The sequence below is a fragment of the Homo sapiens genome, chromosome X (assembly GCF_000001405.40).
Source record: "Homo sapiens chromosome X, GRCh38.p14 Primary Assembly".
NCBI lineage: Eukaryota > Metazoa > Chordata > Mammalia > Primates > Hominidae > Homo > Homo sapiens.
In genome coordinates, this window is record NC_000023.11 from 8,591,961 (window position 1) to 8,609,348 (window position 17,388).

At 37.1% G+C, this 17,388-nt stretch overlaps 1 protein-coding gene across 2 annotated transcripts in view; it reads right to left on the reverse strand.

The window, feature by feature from the left end:
- Positions 1–17,388, reverse strand: part of ANOS1 (anosmin 1) — a 203,264-nt gene that overhangs the window by 63,087 nt on the left and 122,789 nt on the right. For both annotated transcript variants that reach the window (NM_000216.4, NM_001440775.1), the window contains exon 4: positions 5,074–5,296. In NM_000216.4, coding sequence (NP_000207.2) covers positions 5,074–5,296 — 223 coding nt within the window. The remainder of the gene's footprint in view (positions 1–5,073; positions 5,297–17,388) is intronic.

Consider the following 17,388-nt stretch of genomic DNA (forward strand, 5'->3'; position numbering starts at 1 on the left):
GGCAAACTGCAATATGTGACGTCCAGTTTTTTTCTTTGAAATGCAAGAAACATTCTGCTGAAATCAAAGGAACAGAAACCCAATGCTTTTTAAAAATGTTGAAAATATATGGATAGAAAAATCAATTAGGATAAGCAATCTACAGTTGCATACTCATTGTGAGATTTTATTACTATTAATTTTTATCATGAATCTAAATGATATAAAAATGTAGCAAGATGTATTGTTCTAGTGATTTAATCACTACTTGATATCTCTCATAAAGGTAATTAGAACTCTAGAATTTGTATTTACATCACATTAAGGCATTGGGCTACTGGATGCAAAATGTTGAAAATTTATTTGTGAGAAGTTGTATAAATCTATTTCCAGAGGTCTGAAGTTTCACTATTTGATATATTAATTATTTGTGGAAATATTAAATTAACTCTATGATCGGGTCTTTTTGAAAAGAAACAGACTGAAGTACAATTAATTCTTGGTTTATCCATGGCAAAAGGAAACTATAGGTCACAAATTAGTCTGAATCTTTACGTTTGTAAAATTTTTTAACTTTTCTTTCTCCCTGCCCAAACCATTTTTGCTACAGTTGGAAGCCAAGAGAGGCAGTGGGATTTGGCAACAAAATAGTAAAATATATCACCCTCTGGAGGAAAGATTGTCTCACCAAGCCATAAAATAGACTTAGAGAGGAAATAGAAATAGAAAGGAAAAAGGAAGTGAGTGCCCCCAAATGCACTCATTTGTATTCTACCTGTAGACTTTCTACAACTATATGAAGTTTTGCATTTCATAGAACTAGTACCAGCAGGCATCTCCAATCATGTTAATATTTCCAAGCCTTCATTTTGATGCTAATAATTTTATTTAAAAAGTAAAAGAAAGGATCTCTGCTGTTTGTTTTAAACTATAGTCTATGAAGGTTAACTTACTTCCAGGCATCAGTTAAGTGCAGTTCTTACAGCATAGCCCAAAATCATATTTTCAAGACACCCATCGCTTTTAAAAACTCAAGTGACCAGTATAAAAAGCTCTTGAAGCTATAAAACCAGTACTTTCTATCTTCCCTTCCACAAACACAGCAGACCAAACAGAAAGTATGTATGAGTTTTTATAATTTAAAAATATTTTTAAAAATTAATTCATTAAGTAATAAAATGAAATATATACAGAGGTTGGTAAATGTCCATTTATTTAAAGGTTAGAAAAACAATTTGCCCACTTAAAGAGTATTGTGAGCATGACAATCTCAGTAATAAACTACTGGACCATGTGGGGGGTTAGTGTCACATGGATCCTTGCACCCCAATGCCCATTATAGATGACAGCAAATAGTAGGCACTCCGTAAATGTGTATTCAACTGAAATGTGTCAATACTTCTCCATCCAAGTGACAGCAGCCCCTTGTAAAGGTAAACCGGGGAAATGTTAAGAAAATGTTATTTCGGATTTCCAAACAGCACTATGCAACACTTTAATACATAAAAAATGAATGAATGAGGAACTTCAGGTTTTCAATATTTATCCCATAGAATGTGGTTCTCCATATAGCACACTCTGTATCTAGTTTTATACGCTTCAACTCTACAATGTAAAACAATCCCATGTTATTCATTAGCCTAAAATGATTCATAAAGTAGTGATTTTGTTGGATTAAAAATATTCTATATTGACAAATCTTTTAGTTGGCCTATTAGATAGACAGGTGGATAACAGATTTAGATACATTTTGGGACAGGGTCTCACTCTGTTGCCCAGACTGGAGTGCAGTGGCATGATCATGGCTCATTGTAACCTCGAATTCCTGTGCTCAAATGATCCTCCCACCTCAGCCTCCCAAGTAGCTATGACTACAGGCACATGCCACCATGCCTAGCTAATTTTATTATGTTTGTAGAGATAGGGATATCTTGCCATCTTGCCCAGGCTACTCTTGAACTCCTGCCTCAGCCTCCCAAAGTGCTGGGATTAAAGGGGTGAGCCACTGTGTCAGACCTTAGTTAGCCTATTATATCATAACACAACCATGCCCAGTGAGTGTTTCCATTAGAGATCCATACATTCAAAATAAAAATGACAGGAGAGCTAGCCCAGATGGGAGCAGATGTTAGATCTATTTCTGCTACCTACTACCAAATCACTTAGGCATAGCCTGCAACCTCTGTTTCAGCAGCTGTGAACAGAGAGCAGGACTAGATAATCTCAACCCACCATGACTCCCACTCTTATTAAAGAAAAAAACTACACAGACCTAGCAGAGACAGAGAGAGGGAGGCAATCTTATTTCACATTAGTTTGGGGCAATAAGAAGGCATCTTGGAGGTAGGAAAGACAGTGATCACGAGTATCCTAAGATTGCAGGTTGGTTTGTGCGCTGACTGGGCACATGGTTTTCTCCTTGCAAAGCCAAGGGATGGGTTAGAACGGACACTTTCCCTGGGGCTTGTGTACATCAGTCCCCCTCTCCTCTTTTGAGAGTGAAGAAGCAGCTGGACTCCAGGTTGGGAATGCCAAAAGGGACTTCAAATGCCTCATTAGCTAAGATGATGAAGGAGTTGCTGTAGGCTCTATTTGCCCTCCTTTTACACACACTAACATATTAAGAGGCACTGTCAAAGCTCCCAGGACATGAAAACCAGCCTTCCTGGAGGGACTACTGAAGAAAGCAAGAAAAAAAATCTACATATATATATATGTGTATATATATATATATATATATATATATATATATATATATACACATATATATACACATATATATATCTACATATATATGTGTATATATATATACATATATATATATATATTTTTTTTTTGCAAAATAACAATCTATTAACTTGACTGTCTTCATTACACAAAAGTCACTGTCAGGTTAACAGAGTCTGTTTATTCTATTTGTAGTTGATTCCCATTGATTCTCTCTCTCTCCACAAAAATCTAAGTTAAGAGCTAATTTGTAGTAGAAGAGTGACTTCAGTACTTTAACAAAAGTTCACCTGGTTTCGTTAAACGTAGTTTTACATTGAAAGTGTCTTTGTATACTTAATCATTTATTCTGGCCCGTTCTACAATATTCCCCTTATTCTCAAGTGAAACAGGCATATTTGAAATTCATATTAACTCTTCAGTCCTTTTATAAAAGTGCATATTTTAATTTATATTATCTCTTTAAAACACTATAGGTTTTACAAAAGGGTTTAAAAAGACGATTCCCAAAGCATCCTATTTTTATGGTGAATGCTACTCATACATAGCATATTATCTTTAATGACAGATAAGATTTCATAATAACAGATGCTTTAAAAGTTAGATGGTTTTAAATTTCGCAAAAGTGACTTGCTGTAATTTAAAATAAGAGGCATGACCACAATAAAACTTTAAAACTATTAAAGAAACATCACTTGGTAAGAAGAGAAAAGCATTGATTATTTTGAATGTAAGACATAGGACTTATGGTGTGTTTCCAACGATAAAGAAAAAAAAACCGGTTGAATTACATAGATTTCAGAGGAAAGTATTCCCAAGTGGGAGCTAAAGGAAGATGGGACAGATACTTAACTTCTGGGAGATGTGAATTGTTGTAAGTGTTAGAGTAACATGGACTTCCAAAAATAGGCAGCCAGCACATAAATCAAAACTGGCATTGATGGTGAATACTTCTTTATACACATTTTTTTTAAGTACCAGTATTTAGAAATAATATGGATTTGGCATGTGTATGTGAAAGACATAGAGAGAGAAAGACATCTGTTACTCTCTCTGTACTTTAATGAATACTGCCTACTGACTGACTCTATATTAGGGGTCCCCAGCTCCCGGGCCACTGACTGGTAGCAGTCTGTGGCCTGTTAGGAACTGGGTCACACAGCAGGAGGTAAGTGGTGGGTGAGTGGACAAAGCTTCAACTGTATTTACAGCCACTCCTCATCACTCACATTACCACCTGAACCTCCTGTCAGATCATCAGCAGCTTTAGATTCTCATAGGAGCATGAACCCTATTGTGAATTACACGTGAGGGATCTAGGTTGCATGCTCTTTATGAGAATCCAATGCCTGATGATCTGTCACTGTCTCCCATCACCCCCAGATGGGACCATCCAGTTGCAGGAAAACAAGCCCAGGGTTCCTACCGATTCTACGTGACGGTGAGTTGTATAATTATTTCATTACATATTACAATGTTATAATAATAGAAATAAAGTGCACAATAAATGTAATGTGCTTGAATCATCCCAAAACCATCCCCTGCCCCCTCCCCCAACATGGAAAAATTATCTTCCATGAAACCAGTCCCTGTTGCCAAAAAGGTTGGGGACTGCTGCTCTATATAACTCTTCAATGAGACCCCCAAAATTAACAAAATGTTATATGTCACGGTGTATTTTGATGGTATCCCAAACTATACCTAATACAATGGATTCATCTTGGCTTTAAAAGAGCTTAGTCCCATTTACAGAAAATGATCAGCAGCACTCGATATTAAGGAGCTAAGTGCTCTAGAAACGGCTTTTGAATATAAACTATTGCATTTGCTAAACCGTTTGATAAACTGAACCTCCATGTTTTGAGGAAGGGAAATCCTTTGTCTAGAATCTCAAGGTACTAATGAAAATATTTAAGATCTGTACAACGACACTAATGTTCTTGGGTCATATCGGCAGAAAAAGCACAATACCAGTATATTTGTTATGCATTTTTCAAGTGTGCTTCATCTCCCAGCCTATTTTCTAAGGATTTAAATCGATTTATTCCAGTGTACCTAGTAGAGCTTACTTGAATCAGTCTGACTGAAGAAAAAGACAAAAATGTTCCTGAATTGTTGCTGTCCATCACATATGTCAAATTAAAAAGAATTAATATGAATGACTTGCTCTGCCCCATGTCGAGTTAATATGGCTAATCTTTATGGGTCTGTGATTATGTTAAGATGTCTGTATGTGGTATAAAATAAATTTTCTAAAGATTTTATGTTTTTTAGACTTTTCACACCTATGATGGACACCCTTCCCTAGGCACACACAGATATATGTGACACTGCATGTGTCTTCACACCCCCAGTGCTGCCCCTTACCTTTGTACAGAGTCTTGGGTACTTGACAGGTGTGTCCACACCCATTCGAACAACATTTCTTCACCCCAGAGCACTCATTGTCAACTTCGCAGCTTTCAACACAGGCGGCCGCAAATCCACTGGCTTTCTCAGGAGCCGGACAGTCCCCCTGCTTCACCAACAGGATGTATTTGAGGAACTCACAGCTGGTCAAGCATTCGTAGCTCTTCTTGGGGAAGAGAGGCTAAGTCAAAGAAGAATTTTAAAAAATATTCCATTAAAGACACATGAAGTCTGATTTCCAAGACATCTGAAAGGAAGTTCAACATTTTTCCCCACCAAACCTTTGTTTGAATATTTGACAAAATGCATGTATTTGTTTTCTTTTCTCCTATCCAAGTGACATTTTGTGCTGATTTCTCAAAGGAACATAATCCATAAGTGATGATTTTATATTGCATGCAACAGACAAACACCATGTATATGCGCCCACGTTCACAGATCATATATTCTATCTTGGTCAAAGATGTTTTCCAAAAAAACTGATTATAGTCACAAAACCTGTTCAGTACAATTTGAGGGCCCTTTTTGGATTATATACATTACACTTATAACACATCACTCTCTTTAATTTTTTCTTTCTCCCTTTTTTTTTTTTTTTTTTTTTTTTTTTTTACAGTTAAGGTCTCACTTTGTCACCCCAGGCTGGAGTGCAGTGGTGCAATCACAGTTCACTGAAGCCTTGAACTCCCAACCTCAGGCAATCCTCCTGCCTCAGCCTCCCAAGTAACTAGAACTACAGACACACACCACCATCCCTGGCTAATTTTTATTTTTTGTAGAAATGAGGTCTTGCTATGTTGTCCAGGGTGGTATTAAGTCCTGGCCTCCAGCAAATCTCCCACTCTAAGCCTCCCAAAGCACTGGGATTGCAGGCATGAGCCATTGCACCTGGCTATTTTCTCATATATCATAAATACTCATCAAAATAGCAGGAGCTCTATAAAACTTTACAATTCTCACAATGGTAACATATTTATTGGTATTGTATAGCACAGTTGTCTAAGCGTTCTAATTGAACATATTTCAATAATTTCCAGCCTTTATTATTAATATGGAATTGTCAATGAGTTCTGCAGTAGAAGAATGTGAATCTTCTTTAAAAATCAGCCCACACCTATGTTATCTGTGACACAGTTGGGGTCTGAACAGCATCTTGCTGAGGACATTTTGGTTGAGCCCAGAATCAATCAACCATTAGTGAGAATAGGAAGCCCTGGACTTATTAGAGGAATGCATTATTGAAAAAGCCTGAGTAATGTGAAAGAGCCATTTATCAAATGCCTATTTTTCCTTAGGAAAAAATGGTTCAGGACAGCACTCGGTCATCCCTAAGACAGGAGCTGCAATTGGAAGATAATGGCTCTTTTCTGCCACTGAACAGAGGAGTTGCTGAGATTTCTAAAAGCTGTCCCATCCAGGGAAAGAAAGGGAAGGATGCTCTCTGTGCTCTTGCTCTCCTTTTTCCTATGGAAGAGAATGGCCAAGACAGCCCCACCAGCCCCAGCCCTCCACCCAGCCCTATCCCTAACCCTCTTTTTGCTTTATAGAAGATGGCTGAAAAGATGATCACCATAACCCTAACTTTTATACCAAGCCTCCTTTTATCCTTATGGGAGATGGTTTCCATGATAACTACTATTCCATTAAAGACACATGAAGTCTGCTTGAATGTTTAACAAAATAGATGTATTTGTTTTCTTTTCTCCTATCAAAGTGACATTTTCTTTTATCAAAATGCATTTTCACCTGGAATGCCTGTGCATAGCCAGGTTAAATTTCACTGTCTCTTTTACCTGGGGGTGGCTACGTTGTTGTGAATGGAACGTAATCAGCAAAGTTCTGTGCCACTGTGGACCGAGGCTTGCAGATGGTGGGGGATGGTGCCCCCGTGTTCTTCTTTATTAGCTGGATATGGGTGGCACCACAGCTGTAGGGAATGAGGGAATGGTGGGGCCACAGGAGGAGAGACGCCAGAATGCTGTCTGCCCATATGGAGAAGGACAGCACCCTGCCGGGAACAGCTGCCTTGAACTGCTTCATGGGTATAAAGCAAGTACACACGTGTTTGAACTCTTGTACATGTCAAGCTCCGTTTGCTACAACCATTCAGGGTACCTGAACCAATGCAAAGGCCATCCAGTGAAGGGCTGCCATGGTTCCTCAACGTTGGAAGTGGAAGATGAACAAGGAGGACACTTTCTGTTTATTTGATGTCACAACAGGGTTAGGAATATAAGAAATAAATGTGGTAGCTTTGGTGAACAGAAGTCTAGGGGGAGAATAGGAACATCAAGCAGCTCAGTGCCAGCATGCTGCTTGATGCTCCACAGTGATCCCTAACCAGGGCTCATTACTGGTAACATCTGGAAACACCTGGGTTACACCTGGACGATACCTGGGAACACTCGCCTGTGTGCTGCCTGCTGCTCCTCCCTGATGACTAAATATGGCTCTGCACCATCGTGACACCTGGGTAACACCGGGTCATCCCTACCATTGCCTGGTAATGCCTGGGCAACACCTGGTAAGACCAGCTCATGTGTTGCTGTTGCTTCTCAATAGTGATTGAATATGGCTCCCTACCACGAGGTAACACCTGCCAAACCTGCCAGCATGCTGCTGGCTACTCCTCACTGTTAAACAACCATGACCCTTTAGTCAGATAGGTGTCTGGTAGCACCTAGATACCCTGGAGATAGGAGGTTATCTAGGCAGGAGACTGAATGGTTTGGGCTATTAACCAGAGAGTATTTCACCAATAGTGGAGGTATGTTATAAAACAAACAAACAAACAAACAAAACCACCATTATCAAAGTCTCTAGTGGGAGGTGGAAGGTTGGTGGGAGGAATGTCTCTCTTTTCCGGCAGTTAGTTCATTAATTTTAGCCTATGATTCTCAGATTGATGATGACTGGAAATTCCACTGAAGACTCAAAACATAACTTCAGCAAGGAATATCTTAGTAATCCTAGAATAAACTACAATTTCAACGTAAATGATTCTCCACTGTCTCACCTGCTTCTTTTCCCCAAACAATGTTCAATTAAAATATGCGTAAGAGTTGACGGCAAATGTTATATTATGTGCATTTTACCACAATTTTAAAAAAACACTGTGAAAGAGACAGAAAATTTTTATACCATGAGAATGTGTGCAGCACCAAATTGTTATTGTTTCATAGTGACAATAATCTTTCTGATATTGTAAATTTAGTGGATGACAAAGCATTAGTACTTCATTACAAGTTAAATACAATTAAATGCCTGTTCTTTTCTTAATTAACAAAAGGAAAACAGTGGAAACACTAGCTAGAAAAACTATAATTTCAAGGTTTGAATTAGAATTGTAGATGTCATATAAAATTGTTTGTTAGTAATTAATCATACATAAAACGTGAAAATAACATGAGTTGACTGAACTAAAATTATTTCTCAATTTAAGAACTTTAAGGTAAAACTTAGAAGGGCCATGGTGTCAATATTGAATTATGACAAATTTACAGCTAATTTAATTAAAAAGAAACTTTATAAGTATTTAAAGCATTATTAACTCTCAAGGCTTTTATCTCTTACTCTATTTCACAGTCCATTTTTCTGTTAGCTGTTAGATGTGTTTTACTTCATTGAGTTTTGAAGCTCTAAGTTTAGTTTCAAACCTAAGTTAATAATCAAAGAAGTATGCTAACAGATCTGTAACAATTATGTAGTATTTGCCAACTTTCTTCTTTCAACAATTCATATACATTACACACACTGAAAGAAAATACTTAGTTACCAAAATCATTGGCCAGTGCCTCATGGGCTGAGATTTCCAAGTAGAAATACTTGTATTAGGCCGGGCGTGGTGGCTCACGCCTGTAATCCCAGCACTTTGGGAGGCCGAGGCAGGTGGATCACGAGGTCAGGAGATCGAGACCATCCTGGCTAACACAGTGAAACCCTGTCTCTACTTAAAAAAATACAAAAAATTAGCCGGGCATGGTGGCAGGTGCCTGTAGTCCCAGCTACTTGGGAGGCTGAGGCAGGAGAATGGCATGAACCTGGGAGGCGGAGCTTGCAGTGAGCCGAGATCGCACCACTGCACTCCAGCCTGGGCAACCAAAGCGAGACTTTGTCTCAAAAAAAAAAAAAAAAAAAAAGAAATACTTGTATTAAATCTGGCAAGTGTTTCCTGCTTGGTAACTTGGAAATCACAGTGACTTAGTTTGCATCATGATATAATGAAATCAACTCAGTTCATACTCTTCATCTATGAAAACAGAGTATGAGTCAAGAATCAGATAAAGTTTGGATCCTGTATTCGTATATTATTCTAATTATCTATATGCCAACTGCCACACATTTGAACTGTGAGGGACAGGAAAACAGAGGCTATGTCTCCTTATCTTCATTATTTACTGAACTATTGGGGCAGACATAAAAACAAATAAACAAAGACAGTAACCTAGAACAGTTATGAAGCATGTGTTCCCAATGACTATAAAAGGGGAATGATCATAATTAGCCCAACAATTTAGATCTTTCAGTTGATATGAGAGTTATTCTGTATGGATATTCAATGTTTTCCTTTTTGGTAAGGACATAGAAACACATATGTTCATCTTTGCACCCATGGTTTCTAGACTGGTTTATAATCTTGAAATAATACAGGTAACATTATGAATATTACATGAGGTAACACACACAAAGAATTAAGCACTATTGTGCATAGTTGGCCCACAATACATACTCAATAAGAATTAAGTAATTTGTGTCTTTTTTTCTTTTATCACTGCTACAAGTTTACTCTTTAACATTTCAAAATTCTTCTGGTGTGCTCATGAAAATTTTGTAAGATCCAAAGACAGAAGGAAGTCTGTATTCTTCTACAGTGTGTCCAGCCACTAGATTCCAACCCACTACTTCCAGATTAAGCACTGAAATCTGCATCTCAGGAATTGTACCCTGTACTTAAATGAAGTTCATCTTAGAGCAGTGTGGATTTGGTGCAACAGTCTTACAGAGGAGCTTTATTTAACTGTTCTATTAAAGGCAGATTTATCAAAGGGAGGTTTTGATGCTGTCTATTAATTTTCTTTCATAATTCTCTTGGATTGGGTTGAAAAAATATTATTTGTTTGAATATAAATTAGAGAACATATGGTATGTGTACATAAGGTCTCTCTCCAGGTCATTAATAATAGTTTAATGAGAATTTATTGATTGAATGGAATAAGGAGAAAAATGTGTACAGGTCAGAGAAAATGCTGTGTGAATATTAATACTCTAGATATAAACAAAATGTGCAAATTGGTCTCCAGTAGGAAATCCTGTGAACAAAGGTAATTTGAGTGTCACAAAAGTATAATAATTTCTGACCATTAAGCATGTAAAATTTCATGTGATAATACAAATTACTCAGAGATTTGTTAAAAGGAATGAGAAAATAATAGAAAAAGACTTATTCAAATCAGTATGCATGTAATACCCATCAATTTTATGGTCAATAAACACGTGTGACAACATAGATTCTATGTTCTATTTCCTGTTTCTAAAATTATATGCAGGTAATGAAGGCAAATTGTTAACTGTAAATTTAGTTTTTATAACTACAATTCATTTTTATAAAACTATTCATATGATTAATTTCACGAATCACACAAATGTCACTCTCAAATTATTATTATTATTATTATTATTATTTTGAGAGAGTCTCACTCTGTCGCCAGGCTAGAGTACACTTGCATGATCTCGGCTCACTGCAACCTCCAACTCCCTGGCTCAAGCGATTCCCCTGCCTCGGCCTCCCAAGTAGCTGGGATTACAGGCATGCGCCACCATGTCCAGCTAATTTTTGTATTTTTAGTAGAGATGGGGTTTCATCATGTTGGCCAGGATGGTCTTGATCTCCTGACCTCAAGTGATCTGCCTGCCTTGGCCTCCCAAAGTGCTGGGATTACAGGCGTGAGCCACCGCACCCAGCCAAATGTCATTCTTTTGCCAGGTCATTGGCTCCAATTTAAAATTTGAAAAGAATATGGTCACTATGCCCATTAATTTTGTTTATTTTGCCCTTACTGTCCCCAAAACTAAGAAAGAATTAGTCTGCAAAGATTATGTATTTTTTCTAGATTAGTGATTAATAGTATCTAATGGATGTCATTATGCCTCCAAAGAAGAGATAAAGCAAAGTGTTAAAGAAAAATATCTTTGAGGTGCATTGGATTAAGTAAAAAATCCTTCATATGTTAACGAATAGATATATGTCATACTATATATTAATATGCAGTATTAATGAATTCTCATATATCCCTTCTACATGTCATCTCCTAAGAGCTAAAAACTAAAATGTGGTTTTTAGTGACTTACCTGGGTAATATGCTAAGCTCCACTAAGAAGAAAATGAATAAAACATTAATTTATCCACCTGTGGCAAGTAGCTAAAAATAAAATTAAATACTAACAAAAGTAGGCAACATTTCTTGAATGCTTTCAGAAAGAGAGACAGTACTATCTTTGTTTAGTTTGGTATAAAATGCAAGGTATTGTACAGTAAAATAATCTGTTCAGCAATCATGGAATGATAAAGACATCCAATTCAGTAAATTATCTTAATGTGTTTAAAATCACATAAATACAAGGCTTCAGCTATGAGGAGAACATTGCATTTGGCTATTTGGTTCAATTCAACAGACTTGTACCATACGTCAATTCTCTAGGATTATAATTGCCTTTGCAAAGAGTCAGGGAATGGGGGGCTTCGCTTCCTGCTCCTAGCCAACAACTGGGATTGCTGAATACAATGAAACCTCAAATATACAATTTCCTAAAGTGAGTGCTCCATCATTATCACCACTGTCATAACCACCACCATCACCATCATTACCATCATCATTAGCAGTGGCAGTTGGTCACCAAGAGATGCTGATGTCTATCACATCCCTCACTCTACCCCAGCTGCTTTACTTTCTCATTTCACCTATTCTTCCCCAGTCCCCACAACTGTTATTATTTCCATTTTAAAAATGGGGAAACAACAGCTCAGGGAGATCATAACATAGCCCAAATCACAAAACACGTAAGAGTCTGGGCAACGATGAGAGCTAGTGTTTTCTGAGGGCCCCACCATATCTCACGGTAAAATAAGAGGACTGGGCTCACCCAGTGGCTCTCAGCTTGCTTCCCTATTAGAATTTCCCAGGGAGCTTCTAAAACTGATGTCTTGGGTGAACTTCTGACCCGTTTCTTCAGCATTCCAGGCATGGACCCTGGAAACTGCACTTTGGAAAGAACCGCAGATGGTCCCAATGTCTGGCCAAGACTAGAAATCTGCTGGATGAATAGCTCTCTAATTTGTGTTCAGTTATTAGACTTCCTGATTCTACATGTTTAGAAATAACCTGAATATTCAAAAATGCAATCTTACACTTCCTGGGAAGAGATAGTGGGGTGATTTCAAATTTCTTTCTTTTTTTATTCCTTTTCTTTAGCAAACAAATTTTTAATCTTAATTCTATGCTGAGTAGTTGAATAGCTCCATCTACCCAGATACAGAAAAGCTAAATGCATTTATAAACAGAAAATCTAAGTGTACATAAACTCCTAGAGACCACTGAGGGTAACTAAATTAAAGTACTCCAAACTATAATCCAGGGGTTACTGAAAATCTGATTCTGATACATCCGTCTCTGTATGTACAAAAGATATATTTCAGGATGCTCAAAATTAAAGCACTGACATTCTAAACACCAAGCAATCACTGAATTAAAGTATGTTGGTAATTCTTTGAACACAGTGTCTCTGAAGTCAGTGACATCAAAAAAATAGCACATGCTCTTCCTTTTGTATTTTCACTATATTAAAAAGCAACAGTACAAATGCTGTGGTGTTAAAAAGGATCCTTATTTTTTAACAAAGGAACTTTTATAAACAATTCTGTAATGAAAGGAAAATAGTATGTTAATACATAAAAGTTTTTGTTAAACAAGATTTTACAATTTTTAAATCAGAAAATGTTAAGATTAAATGTTAAGATTAAACAAAAAAGCAACCTACACAATTTCCATTAAATGTGTCTTTGTACACATGTCCTGGGCACTTTGAAAATGTTAAAATCATTAAAGTTTGACTTCTGCCGCTGCTGCCCCCATCTCAGCATTGCCCCCTCCCTAACCTGGCCAAAGGGTCTGATTCCAAATTTCTGAAAACTTCACTCCCAAAAAACACAGCGAGATGAACAGAACATGAATTCAATACAAGAGCATGAAGACAAGGTAGTGAGACAATGAAATGAGATGAAAAGGGTTAGAAAAGAGTTAAACAAAAATATAAAATGTGAAATAAGACAAAAACATAAAGTTAAGAAATAAACTAGAAATATCAAGATCATCTGAGGTCAGGAGTTTGAGACCAGCCTGGCCAACATGGAGAAACCCCGTCTCTCCTAAAAATACAAAAATTAGCCGGGTGTGGTGGCAGCTACTCGGGAGGCTCAGATGGGAGAATCCCTTGAACCTGGGAGGCGGAGGTTGCAGTGAGCCGAGATTGAACCACTGCACTCTAGACTGGGCGACAGAAGGAGACTCCATCTCAAAAAAAAAAAAAAAAAAGGAAAAGAAAGAAAAGAAAAGAAAGAAAGATAGATCAAGGAATTAATAGAAAAAAATTATAAATCAAAGGGCAGGTTATGTTCCAAGAATAACTGAAAAGAGCAAGCAACACTGGAATATAGCTTCTGCTTCTGAACACCAAAGGGAAAACTTTAATTTTTCAGGCATTCAGGTAAAAAAGGCAAGCTGATTATGAGGAAGAAAATATAATTGCTACCAAATGTCTCTCTACTAAATTTAGTATGTGAAGCTAACAAAGCAATGTCTATATAATTCTAAGGAAAATAAACTCTGTGAGTGTATGTGCCTTGTGGGGGGGTTGTGTTGGGGGCAGGGGGCATGATGTGCCATGCAATGGCAAAACCTAGCCATCCTATCATAAACAGAAAACAAGAACAAATGGGCTAGTACAATATTCGGTACCCAGATAAAATAAAGTAATACTTATAGAAGAAAAAAAAGTTGTCCAATCCAAGTGTACTTTAGATATAACTGTAGGTAAAATTTATCATGCATAAACTTAAAGAAAACACCATCCATAGACCCCTGTTTAAAAACAAAGATATGAATTAAATTTACAAAATTAAGCATACAGTGGAAAAAAGAATCAGTAAAATTAATCATTTTTCTATGTACCTAAGTATGAAACTAAAATTAAATAAAATAAGAATGATAGGAGGGAGAATTTGCTGTGATAAAACTAAGAATTTTCAAATAATAATATGTTAGAAAAACTGGTAGGTGGGAGGAGTGGTGGAGAAAACCTATGAGTGTGACTTATCTTGAACTTAATATTAGAACATCAGTAAATAATAAAACAAATATGGAATTGAAAGAGTAACAATTCCAACCACATAATATCTTTTATAATCTTTTCTTTATAATATTTTGGGGTGTCTTTGTCTTCTCTTGCCTTCAAGTAATATTAAACTTTAAGCATTTATTTGAAACTAGTGTGCACAGAGCTTCCAGGTGCTGGCCTCTTGGCCAGCCATTTAAGTAGGCATTGGGAGAGCAGTCTTGGCCTTGCTGTGTTAACACGTTTCTGCACAGTAAACCATGGCTGTTTCTACATGGTAAATCTGGAATGATGGTTTGGTTTTACTTTTCTGTGCGGTTTATTAATTTTTAATGGGCATGTATAGTTTCTATTAAAAATAAATAGTATACTTGGCTGGGTGTGGTGGCTCACGCCTGTAATCCCAGCACTTTGGGAGGCCAAGGCAGACAGATCACTTGAGGTCATGAGTTTGAGACCAGCCTGGCCAACATGGCAAAGCCTCACCTCTACTAAAAATCCAAAAAATCAGCCAGGTGTGGTGGCACACAACTGTAATCCCAGCTACTTGGACAACTGAGGCAGGAGAATCTTCAAACTAGGAGACGGAGGTTGCAGTGAGCCAAGATTGCACAATTGCACTCCGGCCTGGGCAACAGAGTGAGTGAGATTCCAACTCAAAAAAGAAAATAGGGTGTACTTTTAAAAAATGAGGCAAAACTGCCAAGTGTGTCTTTCAAAGAAGACATCTAAACACTAGGCATGAAATAAGAAAAATAACTCTCCGTTCAAATGTTACTAATTTATGCTTGGAAGTATTATTATAATTTGCTTGGAAGCCCAATTATAAATACTAATTTCTTAGATGTGATTGCAATTAATTGGATTCCCAGGCAAATTATAGACATTGGCCATGGAAAATATAAAATTAGGAGAAAAGCAGAAACACGCATATTAGAGAAGTCACTTTTCTACAAGTACATACCCTCTTCTTTCAATTACAGTAATCTTTACTTATGTTTATCTTGGCTTCCTTCTTCCTGGCCTGGCTCTTCTATTTATTTTGAAAACAAATGTGTCACCTTGTATGAGTCAGCAACACCTCAGAATCTTGCTGCAATATTTCTGGAAGATCATGAGGCACATAAATAGCTCGAGAAGTTCACAAATCCCTAGAGAATTAGGGATAGTTCAGGTACCACATTTAAACTATGATTTATTTCCCTCTCCTACTTCTGCATTTGTTAGTAGTGAATACCAAGAATGCCAATGCAATGTTCAGCCCACTAAACCATTTATATACTGATTTATAGACCAAACCGGCATTCTAGGTACTAGGAATTTAATGGTGAACAGGTGAAATTGTGAAAATGATGACCCACTATGCTTAGTTTACATGTTTACTAACAAACAGGTAAAAATCATTAAACAGTTTAGTTTGCATTATAATAAAGGTAGACACAGGAAGTTACAGATATAAGGACGAGATCAACAAATAATTAGACAAGGACAAAACTTTAAAGACCAGTCATCAATACTGATGATTTAGGCAAGTAAAAGTGATGTGGAAAACAGAAGAAAAAGAGAGAGGGAACAGAAACAAATACAGCCTGTCCCCTTCAGAGCTTGACAAATACACAAGCAAGATAACTGCTGTACAATTTGGGGGGCAAAATTAATTTGGCAAGTGTCACTTTCTTCAAAATATTAAAGGAAGATAAAATATTACCCTAAGCCTTAAATAAAGCTTCCAAAACACTTAGCATGGATCCTAGCACATAATAAAGGTGCAATCAGTGCTAGCCACCTTTATTAGCATCAGAATTCTTTAACGCAGTTCTAGAAATTTTACAAGAAACAATAGGAATCCATATACATTAATTATAGATGGCCTAAAATCCTCATGTAAATAATTTCTTTTAAAGAGGAACAAATTAGAAAGTTGTCAAATACAGTTGTTTACTCTTTGATTTATATTGTTCAGTTTCTTTGCTCATCTCATTTTGCAAACACTGTCAAATTCTACAAACTCATCACATCCATCCAAGATACAAGAAAAAAAAATCTCATATTTTACCTCTTAGAGATCTTCCTTGAAATTTCTTATTTCTTTGTTTATACACTACTATATTATACCACTTCTGGACTGGTTAGATCATCACAAAATGAAATAGAAACTAACTGATATGATTAGGCTTTGTGTCCCCAACCAAATCTCATCTTGAATTGTAGTCCCCATAATCTCCATGTGTCAAAGAAGAGACCAGGTGGGAGTAATTGAATCATGGGGGCAGTTTCCCCCATGCTGTTCTTGTGATAGTGAGTGAGTTCTCACGAGATCTGATGGTTTTATAAGGGACTCTTCCCCCTTCACTAGGCACTTCTCCTTCCTGCTGCCTTGTGAAGATGCCTTGCTTCCCCTTCACCTTCTACCATGATTGTAAGTTTCCTGAGGTCTCTCCAGCCATGCTGAAAAGTGAGTCAATTAAACCTCTTTCCTTTATAAATTACCCAGTCTCTGGCAGTTCTTTATAGCAGTATGAAAACAGACCAATACACTAATGTACATAGAACATAGTTTCCTCGTTATGAACAAGTAAGAGAAAGTACAAATTCCATAAGTTAAGGGACTGGTTCCCAGGGGACATTAGGTAATATCTGGAGATATTTTTGTTCCTCACAACTGGAAGGTGCTATTGGCATCTAGTGGGTATGATCTGAGAGACCAAAATGGATGCCCCTTTATCAACTAAGGGGTATGCTAAGGTTCTTGGTTGGCATGGCACATTTCTAAATTCCTATAGCTAAACTTGTTAACAATAGGAGCTATCAACTCTGATTTACAACCCAGACCTCTACAACTCTGATTGGACAGAAGACTGGCCTTATAAAGATTATTTTCTGATA